Source organism: Homo sapiens, chromosome X (genome assembly GCF_000001405.40).
Source record: "Homo sapiens chromosome X, GRCh38.p14 Primary Assembly".
Taxonomy (NCBI): domain Eukaryota; kingdom Metazoa; phylum Chordata; class Mammalia; order Primates; family Hominidae; genus Homo; species Homo sapiens.
The window spans coordinates 17,550,863-17,577,183 of record NC_000023.11 but is presented as its reverse complement, the minus strand read 5'-3'; the positions used below and the strand labels follow the sequence as shown (position 1 = coordinate 17,577,183).

Here is a 26,321-nt window from a genome sequence, read left to right as displayed (position 1 = left end):
GAAGTTGATGGACCCTGGAAGTTTGGAGTGTAGTGTAGTGTTAAAAGAAGAAACAATGGCTACACTTAACAGCTGGGAAGGATATTTATGTCAGTTCCATTTGATCTTCCTACTGGCAGGGGGATTAGGAGAAGGAGGAAAACCAGAGAAGGATGTCGGGTCTAAAATCACAATCTCGGGCAACTGAGGTCCACCAGATAACCTTTAGGGCATTTTCTTTCTTTCCTTGTTTGTTCTCCTGTCTGTGCACTGGGAGGAGAATGAACATACTATTTGTTTTCTTTGAAGATTTGCTTCTGATGAGAGATTTTGGGAATGCATCAAGGCTGGATAAGTGCCCATCCCTCAACCTTGAGATGCTGTAAATTGAACAGAACTGGATAGGGTCCATAAGTCGCCTTTCCCCATCACTGCTTCTCATGAAAGGGAAAACAATCGTGTGTTTATCCTCACCATTGACAGTGTGCAGATGTGTTTTCTTAATGGCACCTGCGACACGTTTATTTATCCTCTTGGGTGCTTAGAGCCTGTGCGTTTCACATCTTTTCCAGCTGTACAGGGCAAGGCTGTTGGTAACCTTCTGTTTTTCAAACTAATTCTCTTACTCTGGATTGTTTGTTTTATTTTTAAGTAATTTAACCCACACAAGTAGCCCTTGGGAGAAGGGTTATTTAATCAAGGGAAAGTTGTTTAGAACACCACCCATGAGATCTTCCCATAGTTCACCCTTTGGCCAGGACAAAGGTGGGGTGATGAGAAAAAATGTGATTTGCCTTGGATCAGTCTTCCTGAGAAAAATTCAAGGAATGTCAGCAAGGTGGGAAGAGACCAAATCTATACATCTCGTTACCCTTATCAGAGAATATCTCTAGTAATCATACAAAGAAGAAATTAACTTCCAAAGGTGCAAAGCTGAATTCTGGTTCACTTTCTGTAATATTAAATTATTGGAGGGTGAATATATACATGACTGATTATCTGTGAGTCAGAGATTCAACTATTTTGGGTGGCTGAGGATAGTGAGAGAATAACATATTAGGTATTCTATAAGTGCTATTCAGGGAATAACATTCCCTGGATACTCTAGACATCGAGAGAACTATTGAACTTCTAATATCCCTCTATTTTTCACTCTGCATCCTGCCACAAGGCCAAGAGAACCAATTGCAACAGACACTATCTTTTCTTGCTATGCAACAGATCTGTGGCCTCTTTGTGTTGAAATTCCAAGGAGGGTACCACTCTCTGGAATGAGACAGGCCTTTGCTCGTGTCTGGGGCACACAATGGCAGGCAAGGGGGTATAAAGAAGATTTGGGGCAGTGAGAGAAGTCAGAGGAGCTGAGCCCCAGCCATAACCCTTCATGCTTCCAAATAGACATCCTAGACATGCCAGATACATGAGCCATTTGTGTGTCAATAAATATTGATTGCACACCTACCATGAGAGGAGCATTGTGCTGAGTGCTGGAGGTACAACAGCAAACAATGTAGACATGGTTATTGCTTTCATGGAGCTTACAGTTTAGTGGGGGAAGTAAAGAGAAATCAAGGACCTACTCAAATAAATGAAAAGACTTCTATTAATAAATTGTGAGAAGATTGATGAAGGATATAATGAGTGTGTTGAGATACAGAAAACATGGAGGAGGGGGAGGGATACTCAAGTATGAGGAGGTAACATTAAGCAGAGTTCTGGAGGATGAAGTGATGGGAAAAATAGCAGAGGAAACAGCAGGTATGAATGCTCTGAGGCAGGAAAGAGCTTGCATGTATTTTAAAAACTGGTGATGTATTTTAAAAACTGGTGATGTATTTTAAAAACTGGTGATGGGCCAGTGTGCCAAGGGAGTATGGCCCAGCATGAAGCTGGACCGGTGGGAACAGCTTGCCAGGTCATGCAGGGCCTTGCAGGCCATGGCCAGGAGCTTGGATTTCATCCTAAGTGCAGTGGGAAGGAAAGGAGGAGTTTATAAAGGGGCACGCCAGTGTGTGACCCATGAGTTAAAGGATCACTTTGATGGTTGTGTGCAGAATGGACTGCAGCAAACACTAGTGGACGTAGGGAGGCCAGGAAGGAGGCAGCTGCTATGGTCCAGGTAGGAGTACGTAGTAGTTTTAGGCAGTGGTGCCAGAGATGAAGAGGAGGCAGCGGATGTTACTGAATTCTCTTCTCCCTTCATTGTCACTGTCTCTGCTCATGAAGGATCAATATCATCATGTTAAAACAGACCCTCATGTCTAGGTCCTAGGAACTGGAGCCATTCTGTGCCTCAGTTTCCCCATCTATAATGGTAACAGCACCTACATCATAGGATTGATTTAAGATGTATTTAGAACAGGGAGGTTGGTTCCAAGATGGCCAAATGGGAACAGCTCCAATCTACAGCTCCCAGCGAGATCGATGCAGAAGACGGGTGATTTCTGCATTTCCAACTGAGGTAGCTGGTTCATCTCATTGGGACTGGTTGGACAGTGGGTGCAGCCCATGGAGGGTGAGCCGAAGCAGGATGGGGTGTCGCCTCACCTAGGAAGCACAAGGGGTCGGGGGATTTCCCTCTCCTAGCCAAGGGAAGCCATGAGTGACTGTACCTGGAGGAGCGGTACACTTCAGCCCAAATACTGCGCTTTTCTCATTGTCTTTGCAACCAGCAGACCAGGAGATTCCTTCCTGTCTGGCTCGGTGGGTCCCATGCCCATGGAGCCTTGCTCGCTGCTAGCACAGCATTCTGAGATAGACCTGGGACACTGGAGCTTGGTGGGGGGAGGGGAGTCCACCATGGCTGAGGCTTGAGTAGATGGTTCTATGCTCACAGTGTAAACAAAGTGGCAGGGAAGCTCGAACTGGGCAGAGCCCACCGCAGCTCAGCAAGGCCGACTGTCTCTCTAGATTCCACCTCTGGGGGCAGGGCATATCTGAACAAAAGGCAGCAGACAGCTTCTCCAGACTTAAACGTCCCTGCCTGACAGCTCTGAAGAGAGCAGTGGTTCTCCCAGCATGGCGTTCGAGCTCTAATGATGGACAGACTGCCTCAAGTGGGTCCCTGACCCCTGTGTAGCATGACTGGGAGACACCTCCCAGTAGAGGCCAACAGACACCTCATATAGGCAGGTGCCCCTCTGGAATGAAGCTTCCAGAGGAAGGATCGGGCAGCAGTATTTACTGTTCTGCAGCTTCTGCTGGTGAAACCCAGGCAAACAGGGTCTGGAGTGGACCTCCAGCCAACTCCAACAGACCTGCAGCTGAGAGGCCTGTCTGTTAGAAGAAAAACTAACAAACAGAAAGGAATAGCATCAACATCAACAAAAAGGACATCCACACCAAAACCCCATCCGTAGGTCACCAACATCAAAGACCAAAGTTAGATAAAACCACAAAGATGGGGAGAAACCAGAGCAGAAAGGCTGAAAATTCCAAAAACCAGAATGCTGCTTCTCCTCCAAAGGAACACAACTCCTCGCCAGCAAGGGAACAAAACTGGATGGAGAATGAGTTTGACGAGTTGACAGAAGTAGGCTTCAGAAGGTCGGTAATAAACTTTTCCGAGCTGAAGGAGCATGTTCTAACCCATTGCAAGGAAGCTAAAAACCTTGAAAAAAGGTTAGATGAATGGCTAACTAGAATAAACAGTGTAGAGAAGAGCTTAAATGATCTGATGGAGCTGAAAACCACATTACGAGAACTTCGTGAAGCATACATAAGCTTCAATAGCTGACTCGATCAAGCAGAAGAAAGGATATCAGTGATTGAAGATCAAATTAATGAAATAAAGTGAGAAGACAAGATTACAGAAAAAAGAGTGAAAAGAAATGAACAAAGCTTCCAAGAAATATTGGACTATGTGAAAACACCAAATCTACCTTTGATTGGTGTACCTGAAAGTGATGGGGAGAATGGAACCAAGTTAGAAAACACTCTTCAGGATATTATCCAGGAGAATTTCCCCAACCTAGCAAGGCAGGCCAACATTCAAATTCAGTAAATAACAGAGAACACGACAAAGACACTCTTCGAGAAGAGCAACCCCAAGACACATAATTGTCAGATTCACCAAGGTTGAAATGAAGGAAAAAATATTAAGGGCAGCCAGAGAAAGGTCGGGTTACCCACAAAGGGAAGCCCATCAGACTAACAGCTGATCTCTCTGCAGAAATGCTACAAGCCAGAAGAGAGTGGGGGCCGATATTCAACATTCCTAAAGAAAAGAATTTTCAACCCAGAATTTCATATCCAGCCAAACTAAGCTTCATAAGTGACGGAGAAATAAAATACTTTACAGAGAAGCAAATGCTGAGAGATTTTGTCACCACCAGGCCTTCCTTACAAGAGCTCCTGAAGGAAGCACTAAACATGGAAAGGAGCAACCGGTACCAGCCACTGCAAAAACATGCCAAATTGCAAAGACCATTGACGCTATGAAGAAACTGCATCAACTAATGGGTGAAATAACCAGCTAGCATCATAGCGACAGGATCAAATTCACACATAACAATATTAACCTTAAATGTAAACGGGCTAAATGCCCCCAATTAAAAGACACAGACTGGCAAATTGGATAAAGAGCCAAGACCCATCAGTGTGCTGTATTCAGGAGACCCATCTCACATGCAAAGACACACAAAGGCTCAAAATAAAGGGATGGAGGAAGACCTATGAAGCAAATGGAAAGCAAAAAAAAAAAAAAAAAAAAAAGCAGGGGTTGCAGTCCTGGTCTCTGATAAAACAGACTTTAAAATAAAGATCAAAAGAGACAAAGAAGGCCATTATATAATGGTAAAGGGATCAATTCAACAAGAAGAGCTAACTATCCTAAATATATATGCACCCAATACAGGAGCACCAAGATTCATAAAGCAAGTCCTTAGAGATCTACAAAGAGACTTAGACTCCCACACAATAATAATGGGAGACTTTAACACCCCACTGTCAATATTAGACAGATCAACAAGACAGGAGGTTAACAAGGATATCCAGGACTTGAACTCAGCTCTGCACCAAGCAGACCTAATAGACATCTACAGAACTCTCCACCCCAAATCAACAGAATACACATTCTTCTCAGCAACACATCACACTTATTCCAAAATTGACCACATAATTGGAAGTAAAACACTCCTCAGCAAATGTAAAAGAACAGAAATCACAACAAAATGTCTCTCAGACCACAGTGCAATCGAACTAGAACTCAGGATTAAGAAACTCACTCAAAACTACACAACTACATGGAAACTGAACAACCTGCTCCTGAATGACTACTGGGTACATAACGAAATCAAGGCAGAAATAAAGATGTTCTTTGAAACCAATAAGAACAAAGACACAATGTACCAGAACCTCTGGGACACATTTAAGCAGTGTGTAGAGGAAAATTTATAGCACTAAATGCCCACAAGAGAAAGCAGGAATGATCTAAAATCAACACCCTAACATCACAATTAAAAGAACTAGAGAAGCAAGAGCAAACACATTCAAAAGCTAGCAGAAGACAAGAAATAACTAAGATCAGAGCAGAACTGAAGGAGATAGAGACACAAAAACCCCTTCAAAAAATCAATGAATCCAGGAGCTGGTTTTTTGAAAAGATCAACAAAACAGATAGACCACTAGCAAGACTAATAAAGAAAAGAGAGAAGAATCAAATAGATGCAATAAAAAATGATAAAGGGGATACCACCACCAATCCCACAGAAATACAAACTACCATCAGACAATACTATAAACACCTCTACACAAATAAACTAGAAAATCTGGAAGAAATTGATAAATTCCTGTACACATACACCCTCTCAAGACTAAACCAGGAAGAAGTTGAATCTCTGAATAGACCAATAACAGGTTCTGAAATTGAGGCAATAATTACTAGCCTACCAATCAAAACAAATACAGGACCAGATGGATTCACAGCCGAATTCTACCAGAGGTACAAAGAGGAGCTGGTGCCATTCCTTCTGAAACTATTCCAAACAACAGAAAAAGAGGGAATCCTCCCTAACTCATTTTATGAGGCCAGCATCATCCTGATACCAAAGCCTGATGGAGACACAACAAAAAAGAGAATTTTAGGCCAGTATCCCCGATGAACATCAATGGGAAAATCCTCAATAAAATACTGGCAAACCAAATCCAGCAGCGCATCAAAAAGCTTATCCACCACAATCAAGTTGGCTTCACCCCTGGGATGCAAGGCTGGTTCAACATATGCAAATCAATAAATGCAATCCGTCACATAAACAGAACCAATGACAAAAACCACATGATTATCTCAATAGATTCAGAAAAGGCCTTCGACAAAATTCATCAGCCTTTCATGGTAAAAACTCTCAGTAAACTAGGTATCAGTGGAATGTATCTCAACATAATAAGAGCTATTTATGACAAACCCACAGCCAATATCATGCTGAACGGGCAAAAACTGGAAGCATTCCCTTTGAAAACCAGCACAAGACAAGGATGCCCTCTCTCACCGCTCCTATTCAACATAGTATTGGAAGTTCTGGCCAGGGCAATCAGGCAAGAGAAAGCAATAAAGGGTATTCAGATAGGAAGAGAGGAAGTCAGATTGTCTCTGTTTGCAGATGACATGATTGTATATTTAGAAAACCCCATCATCTCAGCCCAAAATCTCCTTAAGCTGATAAGCAACTTCAGCAAAGTCTCAGGATACAAAATCAATGTGCAAAAATCACAAGCATTCCTATACACCAATAACAGACAAACAGAGAGCCAAATCATGAGTGAATTCCCATTCACAATTGCTATAAAGAGAATAAAATACCTAGGAATACAACTTACAAGGAATGTGAAGGACGTCTTCAATGAGAACTACAAACCACTGCTCAAGGAAATAAAAGAGGACACAAACAATGGAAAAACATTTCATGCTCATGGATAGGAAGAATCAATATTGTGAAAACGGCCTTACTGCTCAAAGTAATTTATAGATTCAATTTTATCCCCATCAAGCTACCACTGACTTTCTTCACAGAATTGGAAAAAAACTACTTTAAAGTTCATATGGAACCAAAAAAGAGCCCACATAGCCAAGACAATCCTGGGCAAGAAGAACAAAGCTGGAGGCATCATGCTACCTGACTTCAAAGTATGCTACAAGGCCACAGTAACCAAAACAGCATGCTACTGGTACCAAAACAGATATATAGACCAATGGAACAGAACAGAGGCCTCAGAAATAACACCATACATGTACCACCATCTGATCTTTGACAAACCTGACACACACAAGCAATGGGGAAATGATTCCCTATTTAATAAAAGGTGTTGGGAAAACTGGCTAGTCATATGCAGAAAACTGAAACTAGACCCCTTCCTTACACCTTATACAAAAATCAACTCAAGATGGATCAAAGACTTAAATGTAAGACCTAGTACCATTTTAATCCTAGAAGAAAACCTGGGCAATACCATTCAGGACATAGGCACGGGCAAGGACTTCATGTCTAAAACACCAAAAGCAATGGCAACAAAAGCCAAAATTGACAAATGGGATCTAATTAAACTAAAGAGCTTCTGCCCAGCAAAAGAAACTATCATCAGAGTGAACAGGCAACCTAGAGAGTGGGAGAACATTTTTGCAATGTATTCATCTGACAAAGGGCTAATATCCAGAATCTACAAAGAACTTAAACAAATTTACAAGAAAAAAGCAAACAACCCCATCAAAAAATGGGCAAAGGATATGAACAGACACTTCTCAAAAGAAGACATTTATGCAGCCAACAGACACATGAAAAAATGCTCATCATCACTGGCCATCAGAGAAATGCAAATCAAAACCACAATGAGATACCATCTCACACCAGTTTTAGAATGGCGATCATTAAAAAGTCAGGAAACAACAGGTGCTGGAGAGGATGTGGAGAAATAGGAACACTTTTACACTGTTGGTGGGAGTGTAAATTAGTTCAACCATTGTGAAAGACAGTGTGGCGATTCCTCAAGGATCTAGAACTAGAAATACCATTTGACCCAGCAATCCCATTACTGGGCATATACTCAAAGGATTACAAATCATTCTACTATAAAGACACATGCACACGTATGTTTATTGCAGCACTATTCACAATAGCAAAGACTTGGAACCAACCCAAATTTCCATCAATGATAGACTGGATTAAGAAAATGTGGCACATATACACCATGGAATAATATGCAGCCATGAAAAAGGATGAGTTCCTGTCCTTTGAAGGGACATGGATGAAGCTGGAAACCATCATTCTCAGCAAACTATCACAAGGTCAGAAAACCAAACACCGCATTTTCTCACTCATAAGTGGGAGTTGAACTATGAGAACACATGGTCACAGGGAGGGGAACATCACACACTGGGGCCTCTGTGGGGTGGGGGGCTAGGGGAGCGATAACATCAGGAGAAATACCTAATGTAGGTGATGGGTTGATGGGTGCAGCAAACCACCATGGCACCTGTATACCTATGTAACAAAACTGCATGTTCTGCACATGTAACACAGAACTTAAAGCATAATAATAATAATAATAATAATAATAATAATAATAACTAAGTAACCTGGAATACTGATCTATTACATGAAGGACAATTTCCCTGTGGAGTTGTCTGGACTGAAATAGACTTTTGTATGAGCAAGAAATAAACTTTCGTTTCATTAATACAAAAAAAAAAAAAAGATTTACTTAGAATAGTTCCCAGCACATACTGCTAAAGAGAAAAAAACTTATTGGCTATTATTATGCCATCAGATTATAGTAACTACTATTTTCTGATCATTTACTATGTGCCATATGCTTGATATAGATTATCTCACTTAGTTTTTACCCTGAATAGTGATCTTACATATGGCAAACCATATGGGTTCTTCATTGCGCTAGCATGAACATCACATCCAGCACACGTGGAGGGGAAGGCCCTCTCTGGGGCTGCCTTCTACATGGGACAGCTCACCTGGATGGCACTCTGGAAGTGGAAAGGCTGAGACATGGACAGCTGTTTCTGATGTGCCCAGCAACAAGTCCATGGCTTTCATGCTAGCTGACCAAGAGGCCAGGAGGGTGGGAACTGTTCTCTTTGACGTTTGTAGCCAGATACCATGGAAAGGTTGAATTTATTTACTGGTTCTGAGGATGAATTGCCTGAGGCCTGTGCTGCCAAGTCTCCAATATATTTCAGAATTAGACAAGAGGACTGGGTGGTGGGGGAGGGGCTACTTACAACTATATCTGGAAGGACAAAGTGAAATTGGGGAGGGAAAAGATACTTTAAATAGCTTTATTCACGTTTTGAAATCACTACTTGAATCACTCCTCTGCCCTCTTTTAAACTAGTCCCTATCTTTTCTCTCCCTCTTTCTTTTTCCCTTTCTCCCTTCTTCCTCCCTCCTCCCCTCTGTCTAGATATTTTTTCTCTTCCTCTTTCTTGCCTGTTTCCCTCTCTCCTTCTCTCTTTCTCTCTCTTCTTCTCCTTCTCCCTCCTCTCTTTTTCTTTTCTCTCTCTTCCTCCCCCTCTCTCTTCTTCTCCCTGCTCCACAAACAACTAGAAACAGCTTCTTTTCTTCACTAGCTGTTCTTTCCCTGGGGCTCAGGGGCATAGGCAATACGTGGAGGGGAGGTGGAAGCCCCAAAACCCATCCATTTCCTCCTAGACAGGGGTCGACTTTGCTTGTTTGTTAATTTTTTCCTTTGAAGCTATAGATCATTCTCGAATGGATGAGACAGCGCATAACCCCGGTGCAGTCTGCCAGGGATGCAGCCTGTTTGTCTGCATGGGGGACTGAGCTGAGGGGGAAGGAAGCCAACTGTCTTTCTCATTTAGGTCATCACAGAGAATGATGTGAGTGGGTGCCAGGAGGCTGGACATCGCTGCTCCTAACCAGAGTGACTGCAGAGGAATTCCATTCCGGCTTCACCTTCTGCCTAAGGCTTCAAACGCAGTTGCCACATTCGTATTTCTTCAAGCACCCAGCACACAACTGGTTACTGAGAAACACTGAGAATCAGACCACTCATGGGCCCAATTGGGATGTATCTTTTACGGTTTCTGTAATTATTTTTAAAATAAATGAATTAACTATGAGCTTCACCCTAGAGGCCAAATCTCCAGTTCAGTGTTAAGTAGAATCAAGATGAGAACTATTATTAGCTTCATAACGGAAAAGGCCATTTTGCTTTCACATTCTGGAGCACAGAAAAGGGCTCAGCTTGACAGGCAGATGAATAGTGATTATAATGTAACTCTGAGAGGTATATCTGGTGCCTGCTCAGTGCCCGGGTGGGTCTGACAGCCCCTCAATGAGTCACAAGGTTAAATGGGGTGGACAGAAGCCTGCCCTGAATGGCACGAGGCTAGCCCAATGTCAGGGATGTTCACAGTACATCCCATTGAGTCCAAGAAGGAATTCTCAGTTTCCTCTTCCATAATCACAAGCTGTAACGGATCAGATAAGCAAGTGTGTCAAGTGGCTTTTGAAAGGAAAAAAATCCTGGAATAAAAAAAAAAAAAAACAAACAAATGCTAATCCTCTCTGAATCTCAGTGTCTTATCTTACAAAGCAGAGCAGGAGATGGAAGACAATGAATTCCAAGGTCTCTCTCGGCTCTCAGCTTCCATAATTCATTCATTTACTCATTCGTTCATTGGTCCATAAATTTACTGAGGAACAAACAGGGACCAAACCCTGCGCTATGAGCTGGGGATGCTGTGAGCAAAGAGACAGACAGAATTTCTCTTCTCACGTAGGTAAAGTCCAGTGGGAGCTGGTGTGTGCAACATTAAAGAAATCACAAAGAATTGTGAGTTCTAACTACAGTGAGAATGCTAAGTACAGTTTTCCTTACATAATAGAGAAAGGGCTTCCTAAGGCATCTGCTGAAGATCAAAAGAGATGTTCAGTGATTAACATGGAAACTCAGGCAGTATACGGTGGCTCATGCCCGTAATCCCAGCTCTTTGGGAGGCCGAGACAGGAGGATCGCTTGAGCCCAGGAGTTAGAGAACAGCCTGGGCAATATGGTGAAATTCCGTCTCTACAAAAAAAAAATTAAAAATTAGCTGGGTGTGGTGGCACGCACCTGTAGTCCCAGCTATTCAGGAGACTGAGGTGGGAGAATTGCTTCAGCCCAGAGTGGTCGAGGCTGCAGTGAGCCGTGATCACACCACTGCACTCCAGCCTGGGCAACAGAGCAAGACCCTGTAAAAAAAAAAAAAAAAGACAGAAAGTCAATTACGGCTCACCATTTGTGAAGAAATTCTTGGTTTGAAATATCCCCTTCCAAACTATAATTGTAGGAAATGTAGGCTTAAGATATTTTCAGTCACATAACCATGCCTAAGATATGGATCATGGTTAAACTCAGTAGGCAATGGGTGTATATGTGTGACATTTGTATGTGGCGTATATTCATGGGCAGAACATATGAGGTGTCTACTACATATGAATGCTGTGCAGGTGGTCATTAAGTAAAGCAGCCACTTGGCCTAGTGTAGCTTTTACTTATAACTTTTTGGCCCTCTCTCGTAGCCTCCAAATATAGAAATCAGCAGTTTTCCTGAAAAATGTGATTGAATGGTGCCCACTGCAAGGCTGGTGTGAAGGCATGAGGCATTCAGCTAGTGAGATGCTAGCCACCATCCAGCAGCCCAGGGGAGCATGGGTTCACTGCTCTCTATTTGAAGTCAAACTCTAAGAAATTGTTAAAAACTGTAAAGCTGCCATTGGATGTTTATGAGTTATCTACTGCTGCATAACAAGCCATTCCAAAATCTAGTAACTTAAAACAACAATGATTTATGATTTCTCATGATTATGTGCATACACTTGGTGGTGTTTCTGCTGGTCTTATCTGGACTCACTCATTTGACTGGATTTGGCTGGAGGGTCAGCAGACTGGAAGATCTGAGATGGCCCTACTTACACGCCTGGTTAGTGGTGCTGGCCGTTAGCAGGGTGCCTTGGCAGTCCTCCACATGGCCACTCATCCTCCAGTGAGCTACACCAGCTTCCTGGCAGGGCAGTCTCAGGATAGTGGCCAAGAGGGACACTACAAGGTGGACGCCACAAGGCCTCTTAAAGATCTGGGTTCTGAAACTTGAACACCACCACTTCCGCCACATTCTGTTGCTCAAAGCAAGTCACAAAGTCAGCCCAGATTCAATGGAGGTGGAGAAATAGGCTCCACCTCTTAATGGGAGTTGCTGCAAAAAAAAAAAATAAATAAAAAAAAATGTGGCTGTACCCAATTTGCCACAGGATGAGAAAGAAATCTTGAGGGGAATTTTGCAATGCAGTTAGTTTGTGGTGCAAGGCTCCGTGTGGAAACACTGGACTCGCCTTTGAAATGTGACAGGACAGAGTCATGAGCCTAAACAAACATTTCCACATTCACAATTTGGGGGAGTTTCAGAAGGTGCTCAGGACATATCTCCTAAAGTTGGTGTGTTCCCATTAAATCTATGAAATTGCTGGTATTTGACCGTTAGGGCCATACACAAAAAAATGGCAATTTGACATGCTCTAACCTAACACATTCTGAAAAAGAAACACCTCATTTAGAGCTGTTAGAGAATGGAGCGTCCTGGTAAGACAAATAGCCTGGTTGGCATTTGAACATTGCCAATTGTAGCATGCACACCACACACAGAATCATTCCATTTCAATGTTTGTACATGATTCTGAAGCCATATAAGCGTCATCATTTGAAACCCCCAAATTGCACAGGACAGTACAATAAGTGCTGGACCCACCAGGCTTCTATCTAGGCCAGTGGTTCTCAATCAGCAATGATCGTGTCCCCCAGGAGCTACTTGGCAATGTTTGGAAACAGTTCTGGTTGACACAACTAGGGAACAGTGCAACTGGCATCTAGTGGGTAGAGGCCAGGGATGCTGTTAAACATTCTACAATGCAAAGGACAGTCCCAATAACAAAGAATTACCTGGCCCTAAATGTCATGAGTACCAAGGCCAAGACCTGGTCTAGGTGGATGAGAGATCAGTTTCACATCCAAACCTCCATGGTCTTACCATTAGCAGAAAACAGCACAATTGCTGTTTCGGGTCTGTCTACTTCTAAAATTGTATTCATTATTGATCTGCGAGGTAATTGTACTTCTGTAAGTTTTCTGACTATTTAAATTTTGCATAAATATGCTGTATGGGAGTGGGCATGTATATAAATGGCCAGGTTATATTGGTTACTATACCTAGATTAGATTAGCTTTAGGAACAAACACAGTAAGAAGTCACTGAGTCTAAAAGAACGAAACCTGTTGAAAAAACATATCCATGCCAAACTTTGTAGAATAGGCATAGCACTGCCCTGAAAATGTAATTCACACCTACATATCCCCATTCCCTCCTTGTGTACCTTTCCTCTCCACCTCCCCCACCCGTCCACCCACTCCATCACATACGTTTGCCACCCACAGAAACCACACACAGCCCTTCCTTTCTGGCTTTCCATTCAACCTCTCATCACCCACCAATCCCAGAGAATGACAAAAATCTTCTTGCGTGACTGATCGACCCTATGAGGCTTTTGTGGTTAAAATATAAAGTTCCTGAAAAAACCTTTCCAAATCTGAATGGGATTGCAGTGACATCAAAGCTTTTCCTCTTCAATACCTTTCATCTTTTTCAGACTCTGGCACTCTCCCCACCAGCTTCAAGTCAATTAATTGAAAAGTCATTAGAAAGCTCCTCTGCTGTGAAGGCCCACCTCATCAGCTCCATATCTGGGTCCTTCAAGAAGGAACAGAAGGGCCGTTGGCCTCCACATTATTGGTGCTTCGCCCACCTCCACCCTGTTCTGGTCTCAGGTGAGGCTAGTCATAGGTGATGTCAGTGAGCTGAAGCAAATCTGCTCAGCCCATTAAACATTAACTGAATGCCCCCTATGTGCCAGGCATTGAGGTCAGTCCTGACCTAGTGCCCATCCTAGGACATCATCTCATCATCATTTCCCTATTTAGGCATGGCAGATGGACTCAGCTAGCTTGACCAAACAGGTTAAGTTAGTAAGAACAGGCTCTGTCAGTTTCTTCTGCATTGCAGATGTTTGTCCTGTGGCCCTAGACATGAAATCCCTAGCCATTTCTCTTAGAAAATGCAAGCCATGGTCACAAGGAAAACCTAGAAAAGGCAGCGTGGGCACAAACCATGGCACAGAAGCAGCTGAAGGAGCCTGCTTTCTTGTTGGGGAGTCACTACCCAGAGCACATTTCAACATTTTCTGACTGAAGTTCTAGAGAAAATGCTTCAACTATTGGTCCACAACCCAGGCAGAATTTTAGGGATTCAGGCAAGTATATCTCAATATGCAGGAGCTTAGGATTCTATTGAAAGATGTTACAATCTGGAATCTCATACCTGCTTCTTTTAAAATTTAGGTAACATTTGTTTTCAGTGAAATGAACAGATTTCAAATGTATAGTATAATTAATTTTTGGATCCCACACCACTATCCTCTGGTTTTTGTAAAACTCTCTTTCTTTAAAGATTCTTTGTTTATTATTCCAAAACTTCCATTATATTTTATTAAAGGATAGAAATATTTATCAAGACCATAACTATGAGAAAGTCTTCCTCCCCAACAATCTACATACCCACCCCTTTGTGATTATAGCAGCCACCATCTGTGCCCTCCCCATCTCCCTTATACCTCTCACCTCAGTTCACTGCACCTGACTTCCAAAGACCCCTACCTGTGTCTCTGTGCCTGGCTTTTTCCCATAACTGATGAAGGCCACTATACCCACAGGTTTGGCCTGAAATTCTGGGGAATTAGCAACTTCCAGGAGCATCTCTCAACAAATGATTCTTAGTAGTTGGGAGTATAAATATCCCAGCTGCCTCACCCCTCAGGTGGGATAACTCTGAGTTTTATGCATAGCCTCCCAGAGTCTCCCTTGGGATTCAGCTCCAGTTACTCACAGTAGCAATTCACTTAATAACCCTTCCTTGGCTTCATTGCCTTTCCTAACCCCCTTCTCCTCTCTTCCTACCAGTTTTTCCACCACCTCTCAAATAAACTGCTTACACTTGAGGTCTTGTTTTAGGGTTTGCTTCTGAGGAACCCAACCTAAGATGGTCATTCCCAACCCATTTATAGAATCTACAATTTCAGAACAGTAGCATAGGGTTTTTCTACAGTACACACACATACACACGTACTAAGGAAAAGGGTGAGAACAAATATTAGGGAAGATGAAAGCCAGAAACACCAAACCTTGGTTCATGTGGAGTAGGAGTCTATTCATGACCAACATATGAATTTAGATCCCTCATATCATCCTCCAAGATTAGACAAACGTGCCCCAGTTCCCTAATCTTCCCTCTCACAACCCCTTAAGACCTTTCAACATTTTATTGCCCTATTTTGGGAGATTAGCATCATGATTTCTGTTCTTGGGGTTTATTCCCTGACTGCTTCAGTGACTTATTTCTCATTAAAACTTCACCCATGAACCTGGGTCACTTCTTTATTTTCTAAAAGTGGGCACCAAGCAGTGGACGGCTCTCCAAGCCCAAATCCAGCATTCCTGCCAAGCCAAGCCAGTACCTTGGGAAGGCATGATGTGTGTGTGTGTGTGTGTGTGTGTGTGTGTGTGTGTGTGTGTGTGCGCGCGCGCGCGCGCGCATGCACTTGCATGTGTGAAGAACTCAAAGTAACTCTATCCAGTGGCTTGAGGAGTATAGACGTAGACTCCTCTTGGCTCTTCCTCCTCCCTTCAAAACCCTACAAGACGGGACTTTTTAATACAAAATTGAAACTTGTGTCAATCCTCTTCTCCTTCCCAGACGCTGGAATGGAGATAGCACCTCTGAATCCTCCCAAGTGGATGATCTGGCAAAGGTAAGGGGCAAGACTTGTAGGGATTAGAACTGAGGAAAGAGCTAGGGAAATATTTTTATTTCTGCCTGTTCCATCACCACAGATACTGTTTCTCACTATTACAGAGCAACAACATCTATTCAGCCAAGGAAAATAGAGTCAATGGGAAATTCGAGGGAACTTAGAACAAGATTAAGCTCATGGACCTTATGTCCTGGATGGCCAGTCTGGAAGAGCATAGGGATACCCAAGACTTTCCCTACAAGCCAGGCCTCACTGGACATTAATTTGCTGTAGGTTCGTTTCTGAGAGAATGAGCTATCTGTAGAGAAATAGGAGTGGCTTTTGAGTAGAAATGGTGGGCAGGCATGAAAGGGGGTGACATTATCCTCTGATAAGCATTCTGGGAGACTGTGATGTTGAAGACCAAAATAATTTAAAGGCCACTGGGAGGCCCTGGAGAAAAGGGCCTTTGGGTGGGACCGTTTGCTTGTGCAGGCACAGCCAGCAGAGTAAGCCTCTAGCTTTGAATTCAGTTGTTGAGGAACAACTTAAACTTGAATGTCTAAAGAATGTGATCACCTGAAAAACAATAGGAGGCTTTGTTCCAGGCAGAGAGAAAATAAGGGAGCATTCGGTTCTTGCAAATCTTTATGCTGGGGCCAGTAGAGTCTGTTTTCTAGCAAAAGGCTGTTTGAAGTGTGTTTATATGTCCACATAGTGCTGAACCATGTGCTGGGGTTAAAGATGACAACAAGTCAGAATATTCATACCATCCCGATCTCATGGGGCTGCCCATCATGTAATAGCAGGATGATTCAAGGTGGCAATGATGTACCTGTTGCCTGGTCTCCCATACACAGAGAGCTGAACTGAGAGAAACTATGAGGTCCCAAAGTGGGGTAAAGTGCCTGTGGAGAAACTTTTGTCCAACTCTGAACTTGCAGGTTTTTGTTTTTGTTTTTGTTTTCCTCATTGGAAGTCCAAGATACAGAAATTATTCTTTCAAATAGAGGAGTGCAGGAAATCCAATCCTGAAGATCTCCTTCCAGTTGGCTAGCCTGTGACCCAGAAATCACTACCATGAATCAACGTGAAAGTATGCCAAGCCACCCTGAGTAAGTTAAACAGGGCTTGGAAGCAGGCAGCCCAAAGGAGAGAGGGCTGGCTCTGATATCAACCTCGAGATATCAGATTACAAGACTGAAATGGGAGCCTCTAAGTTCCTTAAACAAGCGGCCTTCAAAATGCAGAGTGTGCACTCTAGGGGTAAGGAAAAACATTAGACTATGTGTATATGTATGTATATTTATGTACTGTTAAACGGTCTGTTTTTATGTTTTTTTAAATATAAATTGGGTTTTTCTAGCAGACTCAGATACAAGGATTCCAGGGTAAAGAGTTTACTTCAGAGCTGCAGGGAACCCTGATAGGGCGATGGGGAAGTAAAACAGGGAAGAGAAGGAAGTCAATAAAGAGAGAGTTAGCGAGTAACTGGAGCTTAGTCTCACAGGGAGAAGCTGCAAAAGAAGCACAGAATGTCCGCTATTAAGTATTCTCCCGGGGGCAAGGGAGCTGGGATATTTACACCTTGGTTCCCATTATTAAGTGGATGAGGGCTCTTGGGAGGTGTCTGAATTCCCTTGCATGTCTGGACTGCCCAGGGAGCCAGCAGAGGGGTCTTCTCCATCTTTAGAGAAAGACTGCAGGCAAAGAGATGAAGAATCTGGCAGTTGGCTATCAAAAGAAGGCTTCCTCTAAATGTGAAAGGTTAGGGATATGGGCAGGGGCCTAGAAACTGTTACAGTAAGTAACTTATTAATACAGCAACACGTGCATATAATTCATAAATAAACAGTATGGATTTTTGCTCTACTTTTTTTCTTCAATGGGGGTGCACGGAGGCCAATGCCTTAGCCCAGGTTCCAGCTAAAAGCACCCTGCCTCATCTCAGCTGACTCAGGAGGCTTGAATCAAGCCTCTGCTTAAAGATCTCTGAAGTCAAGTACTACAATCTTTCTTGGATGCAAAGGCCAGTATGTAGCAGTAAATCAACCAGTGGGGATGGTGTGTATCCTAGTGGCAGGCAGGCCTCCACAAAGAACATGTTTACATGGACCTCTATCTCATGGTGTTGTATTTCCTTCTAGGCACTAGCTCCTCTCCTCTACTAAGCCAAAATCTCAAAGGCTAGCATACATTGGAGCATCTTCCCTTGATGGAACAGCCCTCTCAGGGAGCCACATAGAAAACAGGTAGATTTGCACCACATCTGATGCTTTTGCTACCCTGGACATGAGAAACTGCTTATATATAACTTGGATTATCCTATCCACCCCTGGGAGATAAAAAGGCATTAGAGTTTTGAAGAAGATTGGTCTTTACTTTCTTTAAGAAATTCTATTTGTTGAATGAATGTGTATATGAATGTAAAAATGAATCAATGAATGCATGAAACTTTAAGTTTATAATAGGAAATTAATCTTGGGGTCAAATGAGAAATTATGAAGATCCATTCTTTTCATGGCATCCCAAAACTGTCACCCTTCAAAACAATTTGCACAGCCTGCTCATGAAGGGGTACATAGCATTTTGGAAGGTAAGAGACCTGGAGGAAACTTTCCTCACCTTGTCAGGTGCCTACTTTGTGCTGATCACTGCCCTAGGACTAGCACATGTTTTCTTGTATATTTAATCCTCCAGGAAGCTTTGAGATAGGTACCATTCCTCTCATTTGACAGATCAGAAGACTAGCTTTTTAAGACTGTAAGTATCTGTCAGCAAATCACACAGCTGGTAACAGGTGGAGCAGGGGTCAGAACTTAGCTCTGTGGCTACGAAGCCCATGTACGTCTTACTGTTCCACAATGCCTTCTTTACGACTCTAGCCAACGGGCACTCTTGGAAAACAGACTTCTGAAAGGTACTGTTACCATTGACTCCACAAAGGTATAGTTGAAGAAATAAAAGCACTTTTGATATGATACTGACATCTCTCTAAATCTAGTAATGAGAAAATATCCTTAATTAATTTTGTCATTGATTATGATGTACATTGTGGAGAATGAGATGGGGGCAGGAGGCACAGGAAAGATTTAGTAGCAGCCAGAAATGTGGCTGCTGCCACTGAGGATTAAGGAGTTTGTAACGCCAGGAATCAGTTCTAATTCACCTTTAAATATGTTTTTTCTCTTAAAAATTTATTGTAAGATATTTCAGACATATTGTACTAGGCAAGCCTCTAAGGGCTCCCCCAATGATCCCTGCTTCCTGGTATTCATGTTGTTGTGTAAATCCCTCCACTTGAGTGTCGGCTGTACCTAGTGACTGACTTCCAATGAACAAAATACAGCAAAAGTGATGGGATGTCACTTTTGTAAGTAGGTTATAAAATATTGTGACTATTCTCTCTCTCTCAAAACCCTCACCCTGATAAATCTGGCTGCCAGGTTGTGAGTTGCCCTATGAGGTGGGACACATTGCAACAAACTAAGGGAGGCCTTTGGGCAACACCCAGTGAAGAACTGAGGCCTTGGTCCAATGGCCCATGAGAATCCAAATCCTGCCAACAACCATGTGTGTAAACTTCGAAGTGGACCTTCTGAGGCCTGCCAACAGCTATATGAGCAAGCTTGCAAGCAAATCCACCCCAGTTGAGCCTTGAGATGCTACAGTCCCAGCTGACACCTTAATGCTGCCGGTGAGAGCCGGAGCAGAGGACCCAGTTAGACTGTGCCCAAACTCCTGGCCCACAGAGACTGTGAGATCGTAAATATGTGTTGTTTTAAGCTGATAAGCTCTGGGGTGATTGGTTATGCAGTGATAGACAACTAATGCAAAAAGGTATAAAGAATAACCTGGTGAATACTTGTGTATGGCCCATGTAGCATGCAGCCTTAGAAAAAAACAAATTACAAAGATACTTAAAGCCCCTTCCTTGTATTCTACCTTCATCACTTTCCCCTCCTTCCTCTCCAGATGCTCTCTGGAACCAGACTGAAATTGAAATGCAAGATATATATATATATATATATATCACAGAATCTCTGTCACTAAATATTCTCCCAGAGGCAAAGGAGCTGGGATATTTACACCCTGACTCTCATCATTAAGTGGATGGCTCTTGGAGGGTATTTGAACTCTCTCACACATCTGGACTGCCAAGGTAACCATCAGAGGGGTCTTCTCTGTCTTTAGAGAAAGCTTGAATACACACACACACACACACACACACACACACACACACACACACAAAATCCCCCTTAACAACAAATAGCTTTGTATATATTTACCTATCTATATATAAATGGTATTATATTTCATGTATCTTTCTGCAATGAGATATTTTCCTCAACAGTACGTTATATATATATAGATATATATATATATCCATGTTTTAAGCCAGTCAACTTTCATTCCTGTATAGTAGTCCATTTTTTAGTTACAACACAATTTATCCCTCCTCCCACCAATCATAAGGTACGATATTTTGTTAAGTCATATGAAATTGCCAATGTTCAGCCATTTTTTGCCTACAAAAATAGCTCTTTCATATGATCCAACCTAACCGATTTTCATACACACAAACAACGGCCCTTTACTGACAATGATAATGCTACTGATGGTAATTATTATATCATTATCTAAACTGATTCTTGGAATGGGCATCTGAGTCAGACAGCCCTGGCTGTAGAGCTCAACGCTGCCACTTCCTACCAGTACAGCTTTGGGAAAATTACTTAACTTCTCTCCATTTTCTTCATCTATAAAGTGGAGATGATGCTAGTAACTACTTTATAGAGCTAAGTAAGGATTTCATATGATGATGAACATACAGCCAGGTACATGGTGAGTACCCAGTAAGCATCAGCTCTTGCTGTGGTTGTTTCTTTAATCATCTTTGTGATGGACTTAAACCTGACATTGACCCTTTTCCACACTAAGGCTCTATAGAGGAGCCCTCCTGGCATGGCCATTTGCGTGGTCTGTGCAGCCTTCGCTTCTTGCTCCAGCTTGCCCTCCTTGCCTTCCCCAGACTCCTGTTTCTTCTGGCTTTGGCCAGAAATTCCAAGAGAAAATCTTCTCTCATCTTGGATAAGACTTCTAAATCAGCCTGCTCAGATAGAAAAAGCTCAGAATTCTAGGAACAATCTTTCCTGCAGTCCAGATGTTTCTGTCACTCCCAGTCCCAACCTAGGAAGTATTTCAAAAGAAAGAAACAATTGAAAATAAAATCCAGACTTGATTCCCCTCCATAGGCTAACTCAAAACCCCTTTAAATGTAGTCTGGGATTGAAGGCCAGTTTCAACAGAATGTGTATTTTATCCAAACCCGTCTGCTCTTCTCTCTTGCCAGCAACACATTTTAAAAAATCTAATCTCTGTTTTCTTTACATGAATCTAGACCAAATGTGATTTCTCCCCTGCATGTGAAAATAAATTATTTCAAATGTAATTTTCTCTCCGGTTTGTTCCTGTTCCTCCAGAGACCTTTGAAGGGTGTAACTCCAGATGCAAGCCGCCTGCTACTGCAGTGCCAGCAGGAATTCCTAGGCCCCCAAAACCTCCTGGGGGTGGGTGGAGGAGGGAGTATGGGGCAATCCAGGCAAATCCCTTAGGACCTAGGATTCCTGCTTCACACTCCAAGATGGTATCTTAACTTCCCCCATCAGTGAGGATTGGAAGAGTGGAAATTAAGAGCTAGGCTCAAAAGGAAAGGTAGAGATCACACTGATTTCCTCTTATCCTAACATATGCAACCTGTGCTAAGCAGGAGCTAGAGAGAGGAACAGCACTTGGCACCTCTTTTGACCCACTGCTACTCAGAGTGTGTCCCCAGACCAGCAGCATCAGCCCCATCTAGGAGCCTGTGAGAAATGCCAATTCTTGGGCCCCACTCCAGACCTATGGAATCTGAATCCCTGAGAGTAGGGCACAGCATCTGGGCACTGTCAAGCTTTCCAGATGATGCTATGCATTCTCCACTGTGAGAAGCCCTGCTTTAGGTAGTCAGCCACACGCAACAGAGATTCACAGCCTTGGAGCTCAAATCATCACTGCAGTCTAGTGAGGGGACAGATAAACTACTGAATGGGAAACAAATCCAAACCAAGGTTTGAAAAAAAAAAAAAAAATAACCCGCTGCCAGCCCCACCCCACTTCCTGAACAGCCCTCACACAGTCCCCCTCAGCATCAACACAATGAACTCCCTGAAAGGAAGATTCTTCTAACTCAAAGATTAACGGTCACTGTAGTTGTAAACATGGCCACTGTCCCTTAGAAAACAGCTGTTTCTCAATGAGAACACATGGACACAGGGAGGGGAACATCACACACCAGGGCCTGTTGGGGAGTGGAGGGGAAGGGGAGGGATAGCGTTAGGAGAAATAGCTTAACGTAGATGACGGGTTGATGGGTGCAGCAAACCACCATGGCACATGTATAGCTATGTAACAAACCTGCACATTCTGCACATGTATCCCAGAACTTAAAGTATAATTTTAAAAAAGAAAAAAAAAGAAAAAAAAGAAAACAGCCATTCCTGACAGTACTGCAAAATAAACATGAGTCTTCCAGTTGGGCTTCACACTCTTGGAGACAAATACAGTACAATAAAGAATCATTTGGTTGGGACAACAGACAGACACGCGTCTCAACATATACGGGTCAGTGAACAATGGCTCCTACTAGAATGGTCCTGTTGGGCCAACCACGACACAGTTCCTTGTTCTGCATAACATGCTGTTGTTTAAACTCACAGACCTCCAGCCGTTGAAGGAGCTGACTTAAACCTGGCTGGCCCAGAAGGCTTTGACAGTCCAGAGCTGAGACCAGGCAGGGACTGCCCTTATTTGCCTGTTTTTGGCAAACGGTGCCTAACGTGAACATCTTCCTTGATGACCTTGTCATCATCACCTTTTCATCCCTGACCATCCTCATGACCCGTGTCCCCCCTCCAGCTCTGGCCTGTGTATGATAATATGGAGTGTCTAAAAGGTCTCTGCACAGTGTTCTGAGGAAAGGCACTGACGAAACTTAGTCACAGAAGCTTGCAATGAGGAACTCCACCCTGACACTTCACAGCTGTCCTTACGGACAGCAGAAGGGTCTGGAGCAGCTCACCAAGTCTACAGCAAGGCTCCTGGGTCAACAGTTTCCTTGAATCCAAAACATCTCTTAGACAATTGCACAGTAGTTAAGAGGGAGACAAATATGGACATGCTGCGCTGCAGAGAGCTGACTAAAGGCCCTGGGGGAAGGCACTCTTCTCCTTAGCTCCTTAGCTCTTCTCCTTAGTGTGGGAGAGTTTTCCCAAAACTCCGCTGAGCCACCAGAATGGCCAAAATGAAGGAGCAAATTGTAGTTCTTAAGGAAGTTGTCCCCACTGTTCTAGAATGTCTTGCCCCCATTCTGTAGGTGGCACACAGAAGTTCTGTTGTGTTGTGCTGTGTTACTTGTCAAGTGGCTCCCAGACACCCAGGCATCCATAGCCAGGCTCTGTCTTCTCTTTCCAACTCCAGTAGGCCCATTGCAAATATTTGTTAATGGAGCTTGAGGCCTGAGAAAGCAGTCTCCCAAGCACCGCCCCCCTACCCCGCCCCCGAAACAGGAGTTTCCAGGTAGCCACATGGGCTGCCCAGGGCGTGAATAAGGAAAGAAGGAAGCTGGGAGGCAGAACGGGAAGGTCTGGGAGGAGGTATGAGGCCAGGAAAAGTTTGTAGTTGGTTTTTTTTCACTAATAAATCAGATCACTCGAGTTCATTCCTGTTGCTCTTGGCTGGCAGGGCTAAAAAATAAGTTTGAGTCACCAGTGCTACTCATGACAAATGCTTCCTGTGTGAGATTTGGGCATTTCTTTTCTATTTTCTTGGCAGAAGGAAGAAAGCAACATGAAGGGATGAAAGAAAGAAGTGAGGAAAGAGTTAATCTGCTTTGTTACCAAGTTCTTAATCCAAAACCCATTCATGCTGGCTGTTAATGTATTATTAAGTCCAGTAATGATACCTCAGACCCACCTGGATCAAACGCCCTCAGGGCTCTTAACCATCTCATTGCCAGCTCTCCACACCTCCCACTGGGAGGGCAGGGCCTTGCCATGTTCTTATTCTTGTGAGTCCTGGCTCAGGCCTTGTTCAATTCCATACCCCAAAGGAAAGACCACTATCTATCTTTCCTGACTCCTCAAAGGAAGTTTTCTAGGCTTTCTGCCTCTTGGTTATAGGCTCTGCCTTAGTTTGGTGGGAGGAGGAGGGTAGGACCCCCACAGATAAGAGTGATAGGGTGGTCTGCCCAGGACTGGGGAGTCTCCCAGGACATGGGACTGTCAGCACTATCTCTGGGATAGTCCTGGGCAAACCAGGATGAGTTGGTCGCCCAAGAGCTGAAAGCTGTGAGAACTTTGGTGGAAGTAAAGAAGTCCTGTGTTATCAGTCAATTTCTGGAAACAGTGCTTCTCAAGCACTAATGTGCACGTGGATCACCTGGGGACTGTGCCAAAATGCAGACTCAAATCCAGTAGGTCTGGGCTGGGGCCTGAGATTCTGCATTTCTCACAGCTCCTGGATGACGCTGATGCTTTGAACATGAAGGATCTAGAATTCCTCTCTATTTCAGGGAGGCCACAACCCATATCTGAGCATCGCTCTGCCTTCCGATTCTTCGGATAATACTGGGGTGGCAGGCACTAGCCTAGAGTTCTTTCCCCACCCCCTCTCCCTTAAAGCCTTGAAATTCAAATTTTCAAAGATCCCGGATGGAAGTCTGGGAAAGTTTAACTTTCTTGATAAAAAGGGAACAGATGTGACTAACGCCACCTTCCTCATCTTCTTTCTCCCTAGAACACAGACATGATGCTTGGAGCTATAGCAGCCATCTCGCAATCATGAGGAAAGGCCAAGAGAATTTCTGAGTCACCAAACCCAGCACTGTTCAGCTGCTGAGCCAATCCCTACAGCCTCCTATCTCTAGACCTTGTGCTCTGTGAGAAAACTAAAACCCCATTTTGTTTAATGCCCTCCTGCTCCGAGAGTTCAGGTTTTCTATTCCTTACAGTGGAATGCATTTCAAACTGATATAACTGATCCCTCAGCCAAATACTATTCCCAGCAGATGGTTAGGGTTGGCTGTGTACAGCTATGCAAACTGCACACTCCGGGAGACACCATTCAGAATGCCTTTGGACTTGTGTAGTGCAAAACCTGCATTAAGATGCAAGGTAGCCATGGAGGTAGTGTGATCTTTAAAGCCAGACCTTGGTAAAACTCAGTTCCATTACTTACTTGCCTAATTGGTCCTGGACCAGTTAGTAACCTCTCTGAGCCTCGGTTTCCTCCCTTTAAAGAGGAATGATAATGCCTCTTTGGGAGGATTCTTGTAAAGACTAAAGATATGTGTAAAACACCTGGCACAGAGCAGATACTCTATAAATAGCATCTAAATACTATAACAGAAAACCCATATGATCTGTGCTGGCGGCTGTTTGGAGCACCCTGCATTGAACGGCTGCAGTGATTACAAGGGTCTCCTCCTCCCACAGCTGCAGTGTGGCAGGCCCAGTCTACTGCAGGGAACATCTGTGAAAGGGTGCAGGCAGGGCAACGAACAGGCACAGGGAGGAGAGGGGTACATCAGGGAAGCACGCTGAGAGGCCACCCTCCTTCATTTGATTCTCTGCACTTGTGCACCTGCTGCATGCTACCATTTATGGGACCGGCAGCTTCATCAAGGGGCCCCCCCGCACCCCACCATGATGAAGCTTTAAATACAAGTATTACCAGACCAAGGAGCTCTAACAGATGCCATGGAAACAGGCCATTCTTTTTGTTTCAAGTGCTGTGTTTACGGGAGGAAGATCTGACACGGCAGCTTTGGCCAGCCTAGGTGCAGCCATCAACATCAAGACTGCTGGGGAAGGGGGCAGGTTCCAGAGACAATCCATCCCGCTTACTCTAGTCTTCAAGGCTGAAAAAGAATTTGGCTTCTGCACCTCAGTTGAAGCACCAGGACTTGAGTGATGATTTGGGTGTCATCCAGAAAGACATTCTCTGGTCCAGATCCCTTCATTCTTTGTAGGAACATTTATTGAGCTCCTACTGTTCTAGGACCTGCAGGTACAGTGTTAAATAAGGCAAAAACCTTTGCCCCCATGGAACCTACACTCTAGTGGGGGAGGTGGATACTAAACAAAACTCATACACAAAATACATAGTTAAGGCGATACACGCTATGGAGAAAAATTAAGTGAGGAAGGGGGGTTCAGAGAGCCTAGCAGGTGACAATTTTTAATAGAGCAGTCAGGAAAGGTGAATTCTGAAGGACATAAGGGAGGGAGCCACGTGGATATCTGGAGAAAGACTGTTCCAGGCAGAGGAACAGCAAGAAAGAAAACCCTGGGTTGGATGGGCTTGGTGTGTTCTAGGGCCAGCAGGAAGCCAGTGCAGCTGCATAGAGCTGTGCAGATGGGGTGAATGGTAGCAGATACAGTGGGCCAGATCACATAG

The 26,321-nt window shown here is 43.6% G+C and overlaps 1 protein-coding gene and 2 long non-coding RNA genes across 4 annotated transcripts in view; 1 reads left to right on the top strand and 2 right to left on the bottom strand.

The window, feature by feature from the left end:
- The window catches only part of NHS (NHS actin remodeling regulator), a 360,795-nt gene that overhangs the window by 158,811 nt on the left and 175,663 nt on the right, over nt 1-26,321 (bottom strand). The window lies entirely within an intron of this gene.
- Nucleotides 1-26,321, bottom strand: part of LOC101928389 (uncharacterized) — a 58,726-nt gene that overhangs the window by 9,977 nt on the left and 22,428 nt on the right. The window lies entirely within an intron of this gene.
- Nucleotides 18,057-24,835, top strand: NHS-AS1 (NHS antisense RNA 1). The gene is made up of 3 exons (NR_046632.1): nt 18,057-18,076; nt 19,800-19,986; nt 24,660-24,835. It is a non-coding gene; the product is annotated as an NHS antisense RNA 1 (long non-coding RNA).